At 34.2% G+C, this 20,829-nt stretch overlaps 1 protein-coding gene and 2 pseudogenes across 1 annotated transcript; all 3 read right to left on the bottom strand.

Annotated features, from left to right (window-relative positions):
* Positions 1-3,823: 3,823 nt before the first annotated feature.
* Positions 3,824-4,762, bottom strand: OR6C65 (olfactory receptor family 6 subfamily C member 65). The gene has a single exon (NM_001005518.1). It carries the CDS (start codon positions 4,760-4,762, stop codon positions 3,824-3,826), a length of 939 nt encoding a protein of 312 aa, NP_001005518.1.
* On the bottom strand, positions 8,018-9,015 carry OR6C73P (olfactory receptor family 6 subfamily C member 73 pseudogene; annotated as a pseudogene).
* Positions 15,914-16,846, bottom strand: OR6C66P (olfactory receptor family 6 subfamily C member 66 pseudogene; annotated as a pseudogene).

The following is a 20,829-nucleotide window of genomic DNA, read 5'->3' as shown; positions in this document are numbered from 1 at the left end:
CTTTTCTAATCACTATGGAATAATACTTGAAATCCATATGAGGAAAAAAATTGAAAAAATTTCAAATATATAGAAATTAGACAGCATACTCTTAAACAACCAACGGGTCAAAGGAGAAATCACAAATAAAAATGAAAACACATCATTTCATAACCTATCGAATTCAGACAAAGCATTGCTAACATAATTTCATCCATGCTTTCACAAATGGCAGGGATTTCTTCTTTATGACTGAATAACGTCCCTTTATGTGTGTGTGTGTTGTGTGTGTAAACATATATGTATATACATATATATTACATTTTCTTTATGTATTCATCTGTCACTTATCACTTAGATTATCTTCATATCTTGCCTTGGTGAACAATGCTGCAATGAACATATGCGTGTAGATATCTCTTCAATGCTGATTTCATTTCCTATGAATATATAGTCATAAATATATAAATATATACTCACAATTGAACTGTGTGGTAATTCTATTTTTAATATTTTGAGAAACCTACAAACTGTTTTCCATGTGACTGTACCAATTTACATATGGCTGTTCCCTTTTCTCCACTCCCTCACCAACACTTAATCTCTTATCTTTCTGAGGCTACCTACTCTAACAGGTGCGAGGTGATATCTTATTGTGATTTTTATTTGCATTTCCCTGATGATTAGTGATGTTGAGGATGTTTTCATATGCCTTTTGCCCATTTGTATGTCTTCTCTGGAAGAAAAATGTTTATTCAGGTTTTTTGCCCATTTTTAAAATTGGATTTTTTTTCTATTGAGTTATATTTGTTACTTATATATTTTGGATTGTTAACCTTTTAACAGAATTATTTTTTTTCCCAGCCCATAGGAGATTTTCTTTTTATTTTGTTGATTGTTTCATTCCACTACAGAAACTTTTTGGTTTGGTGTAGTCCCACTTGTTTAATTTTGCCTTTGTTGCCTGAGCTTTTGGTGTCATATCCAAAAAATCATTGCAAAGACTAATGTCAAGAAACTTTCTCCCTATGTTTTCTTCTAGGCATTTTATGGTTTTAGGTACTGCATTTAAGTCTTTAAGCCATTTTGGATTAAGTTTTGTATATAGTGTGAGGTAAGGGTTCGATTTCACTCTTTTGCATGTGGATATTCAGTTTCTTCAATACCATTTATCAAAGAGACTATCCTTTCCACATTTCTATTCTTGGAACCTGATCAAATGTGATTTTTTTTCTAAAAAAAATTTGCTTTCTAATTTGTCACATTGTTCTATGTGTCTGTTTTATATTCCAGTGCCATACTGTTTTGATTGTTATGACTGTGTGATATAGTTTGAAATCATAAAATGTGGTGCCTCCATCTTTGTTTTTTCTTTCTCATGGTTGGTTTGGCTATTTGGGATTTTGTGGTTCTTTATCAACTATAGGATTGATTTTTTTCTATTTCTATGGAAATGCCATTAGAATTTTGATAGGGATTACATTGAATCTGTAGTTCACCTGGATAGTATAGACATTTTAACAATACTAATTTTTTGAATCCATGAACACATGATATCTTTCCATTTATTTTTTACTTCTTCAATTTTTTATGATTAGTTTCCAGTAATTTTAAAACTTTTCTGGGGAATATTTGTAAAAAATACCGAAAAAATGTTATATCTGTCTTCTCATTTTGAATATTATGAATTTTGCTTCAGCTTTGTATGTTATAGCATTGGTTAAATGCATCTAGGACAAACGTCTCTATAATACAAAGTGGGGGGTGTACATTATTATTTTGTTGTCAGGAATACAAATTATATTAGTTTCATGTTTGAGTAAAAGTTTAATTGCTCATTTACTATGTGTTTTCCTTATGGCTTTAACATAATTATTTTCATATCTGTCTCAACTAAGAGATTTTAAAATTTTTTGTTGATGATTTGTGGGTAAATAGTAGTATAATTTAAGATCTGATACATTGTTTTCATTGGGCCTATTTAAAAGACAAAATGATACATTATATCCCAAATTTTCCTAGTCAAATTTCCTTATGTTTCTTATCTTATACTAGTATCTTTTTTATAGTATTGATCCACTACAGTAAGATTTTATACAGGGAACATGCATATATGTTATGGATATTTTGTATATTACTAAGTGAATATTTTTTCAACCATTTTATAGTCTACAACTATTTACAAGAATATATACTTTAAATGAATGTTTTATACTTCTAAAATTTAGAATAAAATAATATTAAAATCTTGGAAATGTTTCAGAGGCATAGCTCTTAGAACTTTGTATCTTTTGGTAATTTGTTTCATAGTTAAAATATATATTCAGTTTATTTGCTGCTTTATAAATATTTTCTAGTTAATACTTTTCCTTAAAAGTAATGTCTTTATGTAATTGCACATAGTACCATTATTACCTTAGTATCACATAATTACACAATTTTATGGTTTTATTAGTATTAAAAAATTATAACCTTATAAATTTAAGGTCTAGTCTCATATCTTATATAAGATTAGAATTTATAAGTAATTAGTTTATGTACTAATCTTCCTATTTTATATTAATTTATAAAATTAAATATATATATATTTGGTTTTCCTCAAATTAAATTTTTAATTTTCAAGGCTCTGAATTTCATATTTATTTAAAATATTTTTATTCCTACTAATTAAATTGTGTGCACTATTTATGCTGACTATTTGGAAACTGCATAGGTGTATGATTTGTCTTTGAACTATTCTTATTTATTTGGGCATCAATAAAATTGTGTTCTCTGATCATTATGTGCATGGTAAAGGGGTGTATATCAAACCTGCATTAATTTTCAGCAACTTCATGGATTGCATTTTTATGACCTCCTACCTTCATCTATTTGATGGTGGATTGTTATGATAATATATCACAAAATGTAAAGTCACTGCATTTAGTGTAAAAGCAATCATTTCTAATATCTCTGCTTGCAGCACTTTATTGGAGATTGTTCTCCCCAACAGCTCCAGTCTCTCACACTTCCATTTTTGCTTAACAGAACATGTGAAATCTGGAAAGACACAGATAAATCTTTCTGATGAAGCAGAGTTGGCAAAACTTGGATGGCTTGAAATAGCCCATTTTCACAGAAGATTATTGTTTCTCAGCTGTTTTTCCATGTACAGATTCTGAATATCAGGTTCAATAGAATACGGGATTACAAAGCACAGTTTTCTCAACGTTGAAATTAGGTGCTAATCCATTCATTAATTGTGAGTTGCTGTTAATTTTTTATAAAATGATTTATTTTCAGGTAGGATTGGAATAGGCTATTTAGAGCTTGCTATATATCTTTTTAAAGCAAAGACCAATATTTATTTAATAGTCACACCTCACAATCTTGATCTGCTTGATAAATATAAAACAGATATGATAAGATGGAAAAATTACAGAAAAAAAGGAAAAGATTAAGAACAAACCTGCACGTTGTGCACATGTACCCTAGAACTTAAAGTATAATAAAAAATATATATAAAGAATACAGAAAAACGTGTGTGAATATAGAAAAAAAATAAAAGAAGCTTTAAGATGACCATGAAATCTTTGACCAAGCTATTTAATTTGAATTCTACCTGCCATATTACTTTCTATACCATATTTCTTCTATTTTTTTTAAATAGCATTTGTTCCTTACTAAAGTACTAGGTAATTTTCTATTATATTGATTGTTCCATATGTGTGTTTTATCACTAGAAGTAAGCTCTACAATGGTGTGAATCTTTGCATGTGTGTTCCTTTGTGTATACCTATTACGTAGAAAGATGCTTTGTGTTTTTATTGGCTTATTTGTGTTTCAGCCACAGATTTAGTTATCATTATTGCTTGTTCAATGATAATATTTTTTTGGTGAATTCCCTAAGGGCCTGTTTCACCTGCTGGTTTCTTAAGGTATAAATAAAGGGATTCAACATAGGAGCAACAGAGGTATTAAGCACTGCTACACCTTTGCTCAAAGCCATACCTTCTTTTGCAGATGTTTTTACACACATAAAAATGCAACTCCCATAAGAAACAGAAACCACAATCATATGGGAGGAACAAGTTGAAAAAGCCTTTTTCCTTTGCTGGGCAGAGGGAATCTTCAGAATTGTTTTAAGGATGAGTGTGTAGGAGAGAACCACCAAGGCCAAAGTTACCATGAGTGTGAATACTGCTAGCAAAAATGCCATAAGCTCTAGAAACTGTGTGTCTGTGCAAGCAATCAGCAGCATAGGGGAAGAATCACAGATGAAATGGTCAATAGTGCTGGAGTCACAAAAATCCAGTTGGAGGCCCATAATCACGGGGGGAAAAATAATGAGAAAACCAGCCAGCCAGGAGCTGATTACAAGCCAATTACAGACTTTGTTACTCATGATGGTTGTATAATGTAGAGGTTTGCAGATAGCCACATAGCGATCATAAGACATGACAGCCAGAAGAAAAAATTCTGTTGATCCCAAAAGAATTAAAAAAAATACTTGGGCCATGGAAGCATTATAGGAAATGGTTGTGTCTCCTGTAGCAATGTTGATCAGAAATCTAGGAATGAAGACTGTCGTAAATGAAATTTCTAAGAAAGAGAAATTCCTGAGGAAGAAATACATAGGAGTTTTCAAATGAATATTTGACAATGTTAACATAATGATGATCATGTTTCCACTTACACTCAATAAGTATGTGATCAACATAAAGAAGAATATCACAACTTGTAACTCTGGGTTATCTGTAAATCCCAGAAGAATGAATTCTCTAATTGATGTCATATTTGGCATGGCTTAGTTCTGAATTCTGATAGGTCTGTAGATAAAAAGAAGAGTGAATGTCAATACGTGATTTGATTTCAAATACACTAGGATTGCTCTTATTCTGCATCAAGAACTTTAAGACCCATTCAACAAGAAGTGGCAGAATATCCATTAGAATTGCAAGTTCATGACAGAATTTATTTAGTAGTGAAAAGATTAATTTGTGTTTCATTACTTTAAAAAACATTTAAGTTTTATCTTTGATAATTCTCTGCTGTATAGTTTTGATTACTTAATGTACAGAAAGGTTTTTTATAGTTAAATAATAATAAATATTTTGCTTGCTTTGTTCTGTTGGTGGAATATTGAACAAGTTATCAGAATACATAGTAATTTTGAAAACTTAAAGGCCATAAAATACAAATGCTAATATTGTCATTAGAAAACAGACTTTCGGCCGGGCACGGTGGCTCACGCCTGTAATCCCAGCACTTTAGGGGGCCGAGGTGGGCGGATCACGAGGTCAGGAGTTCGAGACCAGCCTGACCAACATAGTGAAACTCCGTCTCTACTAAAAAAGAAAAATTAGCCGGGCGTGGTGGTGTGTGCCTGTAATCCCAGCTACTCCGGAGGCTGAGGCAGGAGAATGGTGTGAACTCAGGAGGCGGAGCTTACAGTGAGCCCAGATCACACCATTGCACTCCAGCCTGGGCAATAGAGCAAGACTCCATCTCAAAAAAACGAAAAACAGAAAAACAAAAAAAAAAAAAGAAAAGAAAAGATTTTGAGTTATTTCAATTTTAAAAATGAGCCTTGATTTCTTTTCATAGCAAAAACAAACAAAAACACAGAAAATACTATATTTATGGGAAATTAATTGAACTCCATCTCCTCTTGCTGTAGGCAAAACTGATCCTCTTAGCTCCTTTCTGATTGAAGTTGACATAAACACAATGCCGACCTTTATTAATGAACAAGATCACAGTATAAAAGTTCCAATCGGACTTTTTAAATATAGTCAATCAATCCAGTGTTTGTTTTAGTTCTATGGGCCAAACTCTGCATGCATGCATCAATTATTCTGAATTAGTCCATTTTGATTGATACAGGTACCTGTAGTGGTCTATGCCAACAAAACAGGAATTTTAGTGAAGTACATAATCAACATCCCGAATATGAATTGCTCAGCATGATCTGTTGCTACCAGTACTAGAAACAGAGAAACCATCTTGACAAATTTTGAGTGACCCATGAGAGTAATCTGATTTAATGAACAGAGTCAAAGTGTGAGATATTAGGAAGGGTAAAGATGACATTGAAATGGGGTCATGCATCCTGGGTCTGGCATCCCTGCAATAAGTCATACCAGCTGAGGTTTATCTAAGAAAATGCTGTCTAACTCCTTCCTGAAGCAGGTATTTGTATGCTTCTGAACTAAGCTGTGACAAATTTAAAAAGACTCGGAGATCTACGTTGAAGTTTAAACTGCATCCATGAAGTTTTGTTCTCTTGTGACATCTCTCTCATTTTTATAGACAATTTCATGTAAAATTTGGTGTCAAAGGTTCCTGGCTAGGTACTTGGCTATTGAATATTGTGAGGTACTTTTCTGTCATACAACACAAAGTTATTTTCATGGTCTTGATGGGATCGTCTTTAAATTTCAAATTCAAATGGGCATATTTGATGCTTCAAGGATATCTGGTGACCAGTTGAAAATCATGCTGTGGGGACCCTGTGATTCCCTGCACAAAATATAAGGAGTTCCTTCAAACAGAGGGGCTAGGATGCTAGTGATGCTCTTGATCAAGCAGCTAGCTACCTGGCTGGCCACATGTTAACATCACAAAATATGCTCAGGCAATTTCTCAATTTATCTGCTAAGATTGTTCTAGGACATTTTTTTCATCATCTTTGATTAGAGCAAGTATACCAGATAACATGCAAAAGATACAGGATATGACTCCTCAGGATTAAGAAAACATCCATGCTAAATAACGGTGCTCTCAGAAAAGGAAGTAATGATGATGGTGTCAATTTCAGTAAGTTTATGTAAATGTAATGCACACCAAAAAACAAAAAGACTCAGAGAGAGAAAACAATACAAGCATTGATAATAAAAACCAAAAAAAAAAAAAAAAAAGAATTGACAAAATGCCTTCATGGTACATTTCAAAAAGAGTAGCTGTCAAGAGTTCTATGATTTAGGAAGATAAATTAACAACATGAAAAAAAGAAGAAATATACTCACTTATGTTAGTCCTTGATAGATTCAAGTAATAGTTTAAATCTAATTAGTTTTCTCATTATCTATAAGAGAAACCTAATGTTTTAGCTAGAAAAGGATCAGTTTTACACCTTTTATCAAACTAATTCATTTTTGTACAGCTGCTAAATTATTAAAATTTTGAAGATTTTTTCCAGATTCCCCTTTGTTATTAAACCATCTATTTCTCAACCCAAAAGCCACTCTTGGTGAGTATGAGAAAATGCAGTTGGCATATTTTGAAATTTTTTTTTTGCATTTAAATGTCAACTGTTTCATATTTTCTCTGACTTTGCTCAGTGATACAGGCTTTCCAAAAAGCTTTTTCTCTAAAAGAAATAGAAAGGCATGTTTTGTGTGTTTAAAAAAGAATAATGAAAAATGAACAGAGCCAATGAGACTTCTGGAACACCATCAAGTGTACTAAAATTTGCATTATGGAAGACCCAGAAGTAAAAGAGAAAGAGAGAAAGGGTCAAAAAGAGTATTTGAAGAAATAATTTTTAAACTTTCCAAATTTGAGGAAAGATGTGAATCTACATACCCAAGAAGCTTAATGAATTCCAGGTAGAATAAATTCAAGGAAATATACCATGAAACACATTAAAATAAAATGTCTAAAGCCAGCCGATTTCTAGTACTTTGCTTTAGTAGCACTTGGAAATGAATACATTTTCTAAAAGTTTTGCTCTGGAAAGATTTATACTGATTTTCATTTATTTCCACGTATTAACTATTATAATGAACTTCATCAGGTAAATTTTGACTAAGAGGATAGAGTTTTCCTAACTCTGTTATTTGCCTGATATCTATTAGTATCTATATCTATCTATAGATATCTATAACTATTATGTATGATATATACATTATACATACATATAGACATATGTGGACATATACATATATAATGATATATAAATATATGAATATAGAACGTATATATCATATATAATACCTATATACATATGTGTATATATGGTATATATCATATATAATACATATGTATTATAATCTTACAAAAAGACTTGCATTGTTTCATTTTCTTTGTAAATTGTGTGTTATAATAAGGAACTTGTAAACAAAGTAATCATAATTTTAGTTTTCTGTTGGTATTATGTTAGAATTTGAAAAAACATGTGAGTCATTCCATGAAAACACAATGGTAAGAAGTACGTGATTGTTAAAGACAGCCTCTTCTTTGAACAATAATGAAAACTATTTGCCAGGGAATTAGATTTTCTACAGTCATTTACATTAATCAAGATAATCAGATCAGGCTGAAAATCAAGGTGCCAATATCAAATCCAAATACCTTATACCTAGTCAGAGTCACAGCTACTGAGTCCTGATAATTAATTTTATTAATGACACATTGATTTTGAGGGACTCAATAACTAAAGATAATAAGCCTGAACTCGTTTTTTGGCAGTTCTCAAAGGCCTCCAAAAGTCATTTGCTTGGGTTGGGGAAGATGTTGAAACTGTGAAAGAGACAATGAAAAGATGAAGGCAGTATCACAGGTTTGGCAATAAAGGAAAACTAACATATAAATAATTTATCTCTTCATTTATAGAAAACTCTTTAGAATCATGTAGCAGTCAAAGGACATAGCAGCCAGAAGGTAAAATTTGGTCACCCCCAAGATGAAAAAAATAGCTGAGACACACAACCATTATAGAAATGGTTATGTCTCCAGTCACGATGGTGACAAGGAATCTGGGAATGCAGACAGACATGAATGATATTTCCAGAAATGAGAAGTTCTGAAGGAAGAAATGCATGGGAGTCTGCAGATGGGGATCTGAAAGGGTGAGAGAGTGATAAAGATCAGATTCCCAGTCCCACTTAGCATGTAGGTAGCAAGAAATATGAAAAGCACAACCTGCCACTGTGGGTCACTTGTCAATCCAAGAAGAATAAATTCTATTACTGCCTTGCAATTTCTTATTACTTATTTCTTTCTTTCTTTATTATGTTACTCTTTATTTTAGCTATAAAATAAATGAAGAAATAAGAAAGCTATAACACCAGTAAAGAAACTTAAACACACACGCACACAAACACACATTTTAAGAACATCATTGTTATCTTTTCTTTTACAATAAAATGATTTTGTGGTACATAGACCCACAATATTTTTTAACAATTTTGTTATTTATTATGTCACATATTAATTCATTACTTGTATATTTCTTTCATTACATTCTCATATATTACAATACAAATATCTCTCTTCTGAATGTTCAACATACTTCCTGAAAATAAAATTAAACCTCTTAGATTGAAACTTTTCAAATAACATTCTGAGAGTTCATTTACCAGCATTTTTCAATACTTTGATACTCATTTCAATACCTTTTAATATTTTATTTTGCTTTCCCTTGATATTTTTAATTTTTGAAAACTTTTGAATAAGCATGCATTTCACCTTCCCTATTTAAAATTTTAGAGTTAAAAAAGTCAGCACACTCATTAGTCTGGTAGAGTAGTCTGTCCCTAATAATGGTTTGCAGAGATATTTAATGTCCGGAAGTGGTTTTTACTCTAATTGTAATGTTGTAATGAAAGACATTCTAGTTAAGTTAATCATCTATGATAATCTCCTGTAAGATTGTAAAATGTACTCTTCTTGAATATGTTTTTATTTACCAGCTACCTGTCATAAAGCTGCTGTTCATTATGTAAAGTAGTACTTTTATTTAATTCTAACTGTATTTTAGTAAGCTGCAAGTGTTTTATTAATCCTATTTCTAGACCAATGTAGCATGTCTTCACATTACTGTGTATTCTTTTCTCCAGTGGTGATAAATTAGTTCGATACTCAGGATACATTTTAGATGAGGCAAGATTGTTTTTCCTTCACTTTTTTTCTTCTGATATCATCCTTGATGTTATGATGCTTTACTTCTTTGTTCAAGTTTAGTTATTTTCCACAAAAGCTTAAATGTGCTGCCACTTAGCACAATTTTTTAAAGTACTTAAAGGTCCAGACAGCTTTTCTGAGTTTGTAAAGTCTCATCTGGTTCCAGTATTCTTCAGAGATTTAGCACTTTCAAATGGAATATTTTCTCAGGATTAGATAATTTATTATGTGAATATATTTACCACCAATTTTTACCTACAAGATTCCTAAGAGGGAGATATTTGCCCTTCTTATTATCCATGTTCTTTGTGAACCCAGAGTTGCAGTTTCTTTTGGTCTTTTGCCTTTATATTATGGATACTGACCTTCATTACATGTAAAATTCACACTGTGTAAAACTAAATACATAAGGTATATCTACTGTGTTAAAATGCATCAAATTCTTTTGAATCTTGTGCAAAAATAATTATATGTTTTTCTGATATTGATTATATTGCAAGCAATTGCATAGGATATCTCTACAAGAACACAAAATGTCATTCACTACCATGAGTCGCAACCCATGCTATAAGGAAGAAACTTGAAACTTGTTGCTTCAAACTATAGGAATGCAATGGTTTTTAAATTTCCCTGCTATTTACATATTTTGATATTATGAAATGTCGTAATTGTGTGGTTTAAATGTGCTAATACTTAATATAGTACATAATTGAAATTACTTGTATAAAGCGTAAGCATATACTATTAAGCAGAAAAATTATATTCCTGAAATAACAATTAAGAATACACACTTTTAAGGTAAACATGACTGGATTAGTCAAAATGTCATTTCTAGTTGCTTTTTAAATTTACTTAAATTAAAGCATCAAGATTTTTCAAAAAACCTCTGCATATTGTTCTGCTTCTTTTTCCTTGTATTTGTAACCAAATATTCAACATATGGGTAGAAAATAAAAATCCCAGGAGTACCTCTACTACGTTCACAAGAAGGGTATATATTTATCCATTTCTGTACATCCAGTCAAATTTCTCTAAAGGTCTGAAGTCATTGGATACTCTACCTATTTCTACTTAAGGAAGTATTATCCTGGCATTTAAAATGAAATAAATTATAGTTGAAGTAGAGGTGAAGGTAACATCTCCCCAAGCCTGATATGCAAGATCATATTTTGGGGGTGGTAATTATTCAAGCTAGCCATTATTCTGTTTCCTCTAGATGGAGGATAGCCTGCAAGGCTTATTATTCAAGCTCTGTTTCCTCTAAATGGAGGAAACAGAATAATGGCTTGCTTATATTCCTATTAATATTCCTCTAAATGGAGGAAACAATAATGGCTAACTTATTCTATCAACGTTCCTATTAATATTCCTCTGAATGGAGGAAACAGAATAATGGCTGGCTTGAATAATAGTATTACTACCTTGGGATTTATTGAATGAATAAACAAAAGGGGATTAGTGTTCTGAAGACACTGGGTGCTAAGCAATAGTCTGAATTAGCACACATTTTATAATAGAATATTTAGGTAATAGTGGCCAAAAAACAAAGCAGAAGATATAGGAAGATTTACGGATATATAAATATCTTATAACTTTACAATGAGAAGAAACTTAATAGTGGAGTACTAGATATTGGCAGTCTCTAAATGACAGACTATGCTGTGAACAAGTAGGTTTATCTTTAATCTTAAAGAAAATGTCAAAAATTCATTGTGATGTTCTAGACTTAGGCCAAGGTTCTCATTACACTGAATCAAATGTCCAGATTGTCTTTAAGGTTTTTTATTTTCCCACTGATTGAAAATGTAGAAAATATGATTATAATAAAAATCATTACTGCTTATTAGATAACTTTTAAAATATTTATTATGTATTGAGCTCATTCTTGGGTTATATGAACACAGTAATGATAAAGCTAGCTGCTTGCATAGTTTTTACATCTTCTGGAGTACTGTTAGAAGGCTACATTATTTGTTAAATTTCACAATCCCTTCTTCATATCTCCAGCCAACAATTTTCCCACAGATGTCAATTTATTATCCTCTGCTTTGATATAAAAAGACATCCATAATATCCCTTTTACACTAGTTATTTTGAGACATATTTAGACAATATTTAATCCAAGAGCTCCGTCAAACATATAAGTATTTTGAATTAAATCAGAACTAAGATTATTTAATGGTCATAGGATGCTAGACACTTCTTAAAGATTTTAAGATGTTTAATGTTTCTTTGGGAGACAAAGTTGTAAAATAAAGTTACAACAAAATTATTAAAGGTATATAATTAAACAATACAGATGGCATATGAAGAAAAATTTGTTAAAGTATAACAGCTACTTTAAGTTCAAAGTATATAATATTTAATTAGCCACGATTAAAGCCAAGAACTTGAGTAAACATTTTAAGTATGCTTTAATAAAGAGGTTGTTATAAAATTATTATTATAGGAAGATGGTTACTTGCAGATCAAAATACTACTTTAAAGTGTACATTTAGTAGTAGCATGACATAAAGAAAGATGGAAAATTGGTTTAATGTGTATAGTGAACAAAAAATAAATTGAGGTGTAGAATGGGTACACTTTTTGGTCGATGATCTAATATAGCCCTTTTTATTCTGAATTTTGAGTATACGGGATAATGCCACAGTGCTTATGATGGCAGCAGCTGTTGTCCTCAAGCCGGCTGCAGCAGGGAGGTGCCACAGGGAGGTGCACGCTCAGTGGAGCCGGCGGGAGTCCGGGACAAGTGAGAGCCCAGTCCATTCCGAGTTGGGGCAGGAGCTTCCCGGGTGCCCGCCTAATCCCGGGCTGTAGACCTGGGACTCTGGCTCCATGGAGCAGGCAGGCGCCCGGTCCCTCAGCACGGCTGTAGCCGCCCAAACCCGGGCTGCAGGCCCAGCAAACCCTGCATTCTTGGTTGACCTGGGAAGGCTCCCTTTGCCTTTGCAGGCTCGGAGGTGCCTGCTCCTGCTGGCTGTCCTCTCCCCACTCCCGATGCCCGCTCAGATCTCGGAGTGGTGTTGGGGCCAACCTAGGCACTGTCACTGTCTGGCCGGGTGTGCTCACGCTTGGGGCACGGCTGACATGCCAGTCCCCAGTGGACTGGGCCCCCTCTGGACTTTGGGTGCAGAGGAGCACAGGAGGAGAAGCTGAGAGGGTGGTGAGGGTGGCTGGGTGCTGGCTTGCAGGTGCCCCTTGGTGCCAGCAGCCTGGGTGCCATGGATAGCTACTGTAGGCAGGCAGGCTCCTGGGAGGAAGGGAGTGGTGCCCCTGTAAGGCCCCACCTTCAGTCCAGGGATGGCCTGAAGGCTGGGCACTGGGCTGCCAGTCCTGTAGACCGCAGACTGGAGTGGGAACTTGTGGTGACTTTTCTGCTGCTGATGGCTGCCCATGGACCAATCTGCATGTACTTCCTCTCCTCTGGGTTCCATAAAAGCCCTGGGCTCAGCCAGAATGAGGCAGAGGATGGAGAGGATGGCCAGAGGACTGGTTGAAGTGAGGAACTACCCTCTCTGCTGATAGCTGGAGATGACTAGAGGACCAGCTGAAGAGAGGAGCTACTCACTCTGCTGAGAGCTGCAGAGACCACTAGACAACCTGAGTGCAGAGAGGAGCCACCCAATTCAGGGCCTCCTCTCTGCTGAGAGCTGAACTCTGGATGAGACAACCTGTCTGCAGAGAGGAGCTGCCTGCTGCTGGTCTCCTCTGAGCTGTTCTGTCACTCAGTAAAGCTTCTCTTCATCTTGTTCACCCTCCACTTGTATGCGTACCTCATTCTTCCTGGACGTGGGGCAAGAACTCAGGCAAAAGTGCCACCAGCCACAGAGGTTTCCAGCCAGAAAAGTGACACTCTAAAGATCCCATAACATTTAGTTTTTAGGACTCTCGGCAAGCAGTTATTTTAAAAGGTCATACATAATTCTAACATAAATTATAAAAACTTGTAATTAAAGAAATTAAAATTAATATAATAATTCAAAACTCATTAATTCTCAGATTTAATGACTAAACTTATAGAAAAAGAGTTCACAGATTGAAATACAATTCCATTTGTCAAACTGTGGTTGAGTTGCAAAAATAAATTGCTTATGAACATAAGTTTGGTAAAAGTCAATGAAATATTGCATGAAAATCAACTGGGTATATAGAATTGACACTAAAATTTATAATTACATCAGGTTTCTATTTTTTGGAGGACTAGTTGTTAAACATTATGCAGCATATCCTTTCTCTCTGCCCACATGAACTGAAGGATCTGGCCTTTATTGAGCATCACATTGCTTGAGCCATATCCACATCAATAGATGCAAATTAAATTCAGATTTGCATAGAATCTGCTAAGCAACTACCAGAAAAATAAAAAGTTTTGTAAAGCAAAGAGAAATAAAAACGTAATTTTTGATTAGCTGGAATATTTAGCTCTATGATGCCTAAAGGAGTCCAGTATTCTTACCAATTCTAACTAAACTTATTATCAATTTAACAAAACACTTCCTATAAGCAGATGTAGTAAATCATTTTGCTCAGATTCACAGATGCAAATATCATATGGCTATTTTAGACATTTAGACATTCATACTGTCTCTCAGATTGAATGTGTTAGTTTTCATTCACCTGCTTTTGATTACGTGTAACCTTTTTTCTACAAATACTTGTTTGAATAACTCATTTTTTAAATGGGGGAGAAAAGAGAACCCCAAAACTAGGAATTTGAATACATATTAAGGAAAAGTGATCCAATAGTAACTTAAATGATTTCATGTGTTCATGCATTGCTTGTGGAAGAAGACAGGAAAAAAGCAAATTGATAAATACTAAACAAATTTTTATTCTTACAAGTGTATAAGTAAGAACCTCTTATAGGAAAAGTTTATATCAAGGCGCAGGCAGTGTAAACATACTTAATCCCATACTCTCCATTGTCCATAAAAAAATGAAAACTTTTTTAAAAGAATGTAACCATATAAATAGAATCGAGGGTATCATTAGTATACTAGAAATTTTAAGAACCACTTGGGAGATAGAAAGCACAGGGGTTTAAAGGGCTAGTAAAATCAAAAGAGAGAAAGGCAAGCCAGATTCTTTTCAAAGGAGCTGCAGGTAAACTCCAGACCCAGCAACAGCAAATTAACAGAAAGAAATGGGCTATCATCAGTGTAGTTCATTAAGGGTGATTTGTGGTGAGAGTACTGGGGCCTAACAGAAATATCAGAACCGGACTTGAGGTAATTTTGGAATTTGAGCCAAGAAAAGACATTAAGCAAGATATTTTATACTATTAAATAATGGAATTCACATTGAAGATATAGAATGCCAATGTACCAAATAGCATATGTAAACATTTACAATGCAAAAACCAAGGGAGATAAAAGGAGAAATATAAATATACTATTTACAATGCAAAAACCAAGGGAGATAAAAGGAGAAATATAAATATACTAGAGGTAGGAGACTTCATCTCACAGAAGAATTTATTTTAGTACATTGTGCTAATGCACTGGGATAAATAATTTTTCAGAATTGCTTGATGGTAACTTTTTAAAAAAATTTTTTTCTTAGGATCAAAGGGAAAGTCTTTCAATGATTGTTTAAAGCTAAATTCTGCAGCCTGGCCAACATAGTGAAACCCTGTCTCCACTAAAAATACAAAAAATTAGCTGGGCGTGGTGGCAGGAGCCTGTAATCCCAGCTCCTCAGGAGGCTGAGGCAGGAGAATCACTTGAACCCAAGAGGCAGAGGTTGCAGTGAGCCGAGTTGGCACCATTGCACTCCAGCCCATGCAATAGTGTGAGACTCCATCTCAAAAAACAAACAACAAAAAACAAACAAACAAAAAAACAAATAAAACAACACCTAAATGTTCACAGCATGTAAATATAAATGGGTTATGAAGCCAAGTGAGGTCAAAATGGGATAGAAGAATAAATCCTGAAGGAAAAATAGTTGAATATATTAATGGTATTGGATGGAGATATAGAACGATGTCAGTATTATGCTACAGATAAGTTTCCATTTCAAGTTCAGGCTATACATTTCTTTGTGACTAAAATTTATTTGAAAAACATTTTTTGATCAAGTTCTGAAAAGACTGTTTTACCTACTGGTTCCTTAGGGAGTAAGTAAAAGGATTTAACACTGGGGCTACAGAGGTATTGAGCACTGCTATACCCTTGGTCAAAGCCACTCCTTCTTTTGCTGATGTTTTGACATACATGAAAATGCAGCTTCCATAAGAAATGGAGACAACAATCATGTGTGAAGAACAAGTGGAAAAGGCCTTTTTCCTTTGTTCAGCAGAAGGAATTCTCAGGATTGTCTTAAGGATGAATACATAGGAAAGAATCACTAATGTTAAGGTTACCATGAGAGTGAATATGGCCAGGAAAAATCCCATGAACTCTAGAAACGCTGTGTCTGTGCAGGAGATCAGTAGCATAGGAGAGGAATCACAGGTAAAGTGATCAATGATGTTGGAGTCACAGAAATCCAGTTGAAGCCCCATAATTACAGGTGGAAAGATAATGAGAAATCCAGCTAGCCAAGAGCTAATTACAAGCTGGATGCAGACTCTGCTGTTCATTATTGTTGTGTAGTGCAGTGGCTTACAGATAGCAACATAACAATCATAGGACATAGCAGTCAAAAGGAAAAATTCTGTTGAACCAAGGAGTATAAAGAAAAATACCTGGGCCATGCAAGAATTATAAGAAATGGTCTTATCCCCTGTTACGATGCTGACCAGAAACCTAGGAATACAAACTGTTGTGAATGAGATTTCTAGAAAAGAGAAATTCCTAAGGAAAAAGTACATGGGTGTTTTGAGGTGCACATCTATCAAAGTGAGAGTAATAATTGTCAGGTTCCCAGTTATACTCAGTATATATGTAAAAAATAGAAATATAAAAATCAAAACATTTAGCTTTGGGTCATCTGTTAATCCCAGAAGAATGAACTGTTTCACAGAAGCATAATTTTTCATTTCTTATTGTTGACTGCTACCAAGTCTATAAAGGAAAACAAGAAACAATGGTTTAGTGAGTTTGGGTTACATTTTATCACATCTGCTGGGTTAGGAAACATATAAGGCCTATAATAAACCAAAAGAAAAATCAGCCAACCAAGTTATACTGAATTATAAAAATATATATTAACCATGACAAAAAAAATCTATGTCTGGTACTTGCCTTGTTGGTCACCAGCTATTTAATATTGAGTGTGTTCAATCAGATACCATCTCACACCAGTTAGAATGGCAATCATTAAAAAGTCAGGAAACAACAGGCGCTGGAGAGGATGTGGAGAAATAGGAAGACTTTTACACTGTTGGTGGGACTGTAAACTAGTTCAACCATTGTGGAAGTCAGTGTGGCGATTCCTCAGGAATCTAGAACTAGAAATACCATTTGACCCAGCCAACCCATTACTGGGTATATACCCAAAGGACTATAAATCATGCTGCTATAAAGACACATGCACACATATGTTTATTGTGGCACTATTCACAATAGCAAAGACTTGGAACCAACCCAAATGTCCAACAATGATAGACTGGATTAAGAAAATGTGGCACATATACACCATGGAATACTATGCAGCCATAAAAAATGATGAGTTCATGTCCTTTGTAGGGACATGGATGAAATTGGAAATCATCATTCTCAGCAAACTATCACAAGGACAAAAAACCAAACACCGCATGTTCTCACTCATAGGTGGGAATTGAACAATGAGAACACATGGACACAGGAAGGGGAACGTCACACTCTGGGGACTGTTGTGGGGTGGGGGGAGGGGGGAGGGATAGCATTAGGAGATATACCTAATGCTAAATGATGAGTTAATGGGTGCAGCACACCAGCATGGCACATGTATACATATGTAACTAACCTGCACATTATGCACATGTACCCTAAAACTTAAAGTATAATAATAATAAAAAAAAATTGAGTGTGTTACCTGATAGGTTTAATAAATACATCTGTATAAGAAAAATGTGCTTACCAAATGTGTTTTACTTTCTCTTAAAAAATTGATTGGCCAGGTACGGTGGCTCACACCTGTAATCTCAGCACTATGGAAGGCTGAGGCAGACAGATCACTTGAAGCCAGGAGTTCGAGACCAGCCTGGTCAACATGGCGAAGCCCTGTTTCTAGTAAAAATATAAAAATTAGCCAGGCGTGATGGTAGGTGCCTGTAATCCCAGCTACTCAGGAGGCTGAGGCAGGAGAATTGCTTGAACCCAGGAGACGGAGGTTGCAGTTAACCAAGATTGCACCACTGCACTTCAGCCTGGGTGACACAGCAAGACTCCATCTCAAAAAGAAAAAAAAATTTGATCGTATGTACGTGAAAACTAGAAACATAAAAAACATTAAAATGTAAAATATTCTTTTACGGTTATTAAGATGCTATACCAAAGATCACATGTCCTGATTGTCTGAAAATAAAACATTTTGAAGCATTTTTAGAAGTTATTTTCCATAATATTTCAAGATATTTAATTTCAGTCTTGTCTAGAGAATCAATAATTTATAAATAAATCAGGATCATCAAACTAATATTTCTATAATCCTAAAATACAAACAGAATTTTTCAAAGTTTTGAAAACTTTCCAAAGTTTTTTCTTTCTGAATTAAATAATATTCTATAGAAGATATTCTAACAGCCAAAGTTAAGTCATCTCAGTTATAAATTAATTAGAAAAATGCAAAAAATGAGGAAAGTAATTGAAAATACACTTACAATAATATAATTCCACGTGGTAGCAGTTTAACTGCTAAAACCCAAATGTTATGTGGCTTTACTTTAACTGGCATCAGTGTTTGATGCTTTACTTTGGGAACGTTTCATAAGCTTCACAACTTGTTTCTGTCTTGAATTTTCTTACATAATAACATACTTATATAATGAGGAGATGGAATTTGGAAAGATGAACCCGGTTATGTACAGTGGGATGGAACACAACGTAGGAACAAGTCCAGCTGAAAATTCTGCTTTCTCTTCCAGAAGTGGGAGAGGCCCCGATAGGTGACATAGTCCCAGTTGCTGTTAAGAGGTGCTACAACCAGACTACGGTAAAGTATCCAAAAGGTCCTGCAGCTGGAGATCCAGGAAAGGGCTGACAATACAGTGAAAAATCTGGGTGTCTCAATCAGTGGCAAAAATCTGAAAGTCTGAAACTCACTGAGTAACAGTGTCTCTGGTACTAGTTTGTTGTTAGTAGTAAAGGTAGAGGCCATGGAAGTGGGAAAGGGCAGTAGCAAAATGGGCAGTTTGCATCTGGTTACAGCAGAGGGCTTCAGACCAAACCAGATGCAGACTCTGCTGACACTCCAGGAAAGATCAAGCTTTCCTGGAGTGTCAATCAATGAGACTCTCAAAAACAAAAAGAGGAAGGAAGGAAGGAAGGAGGGAAGGAGGGAGGGAGGGAGAGGGAAGGAGGGAAGGAGGGAAGGAGGGAAGGAAAGAAATGTGGATCCTTGTTAGAATCAGGACAATACTTACAGGGAAATTGGTAAACAGAGATGATGAAGTTGTATATTTTACTTGTCAATTAAGTGAAGTTCTTAGATCATCAGAAGGAGAGGGTTCAAATCACAAGAAAGAATCCAAAAACAGCACCAGTGGAAAAGATGAGCTGCATGGCATATGAATGAAAACGGTTGAGATGGAACATCCTTGAAACGTAAAAGGACTCTCCAAAGGCTAGGCATTCAGTATCTCTTTTTACTCCCCAAAATTTCCATGACAATAACAATGTCTTGACCCTGGATACTAGGAAAACTTTCCAATGTAATATTTTAAGTGACTCTCAGTAACTCTTGTGAAAAAAAAGATCTGTTGTTATTATTTTTTTTCCTGTCTTCACCTTCCCGCAGGAAAACTTGTTTTTTTAAAGTATTCTCTCCAACACAGGCTGTTTATAGCAGCTTTTTTCTTTCTCCTTCAAAATATTCACAGAAGACTATTGCAGTAAAACAGAGTTAAAATGTCTCTAGAGAGATGGTAGTGATGAATGCACACTGAGGTTATGTTGAATAATTTTAATTAGGCATCCTTTGGAAATTATTATTTTTAATCATTAAATGTTAGAGAGGTGTATAATGAAAACAAGAGCAGTGAGGAAATAACAGTATTAGAATTATTTTGAAGTTTATATTGTCAATATCGTTTTATTTTAACCTGAAATAAATGTTTGCCAAGGTAATATGATTCAATTACATGTAAGCACGGGAAGAAGCAGAAAATAGAATGAGAAAAGGGCCCTAGGATATAAAATATGCTATACAAGTGTTTTATTTGTTAATACATAGATGGAGTATTTTAGGGAAAATATAACTAGTATATAGGCATACCATTAAGATGCAGTAAAAATAGAAAGTATAATGTAAACATAAAACTCATGAAATTGATTATCTAAAGACCTCCTTAAGTATTGTTTCTTTCACATTAGAAAACAAAGAAAGCAAAGTTTATATTAGACAATTTAGACCTAGTACATTGTTTACAACTACTGAATTCATTCTCATTTTTAATCTTTTTCTTACAGTATGTTTGTTATGGACACTAGATTCAAATTATTTTCATTTTTAGGATTATATGTTTGTATTTACCTGGACTTGCTATAGGAGCTGAATCTATTAGAATGAGGGAAAAATATTGGAGGTTTAGGCTGATTGTCTTATTTCAAGAGAACTTTCAAAGAAGGACAATATTTTCTAACCAAAAATTAATACATTTCTTTTTCTAATATTTTCTACATGTTATATTCAGTATGTTTCCATTTCAGTGTTTCAGATACTTTTTTGTTTGTTTACTTTCACCACCTAGCTTCTAGGAATATATCTTTTTTCCAAGGTGTAGCAGGTGACTTTAAAATAGTCCCCATAGTACCCAACTTTTGGTGTTCATGGCCTGGTATAACCTTTTCTCCAGAAGTGTGGGCAGGGCCTGTGACTTGC

This window comes from Homo sapiens, chromosome 12 (assembly GCF_000001405.40).
Source record: "Homo sapiens chromosome 12, GRCh38.p14 Primary Assembly".
NCBI classification, from domain to species: domain Eukaryota; kingdom Metazoa; phylum Chordata; class Mammalia; order Primates; family Hominidae; genus Homo; species Homo sapiens.
This window is presented reverse-complemented; position numbering and strand designations above follow the sequence as displayed.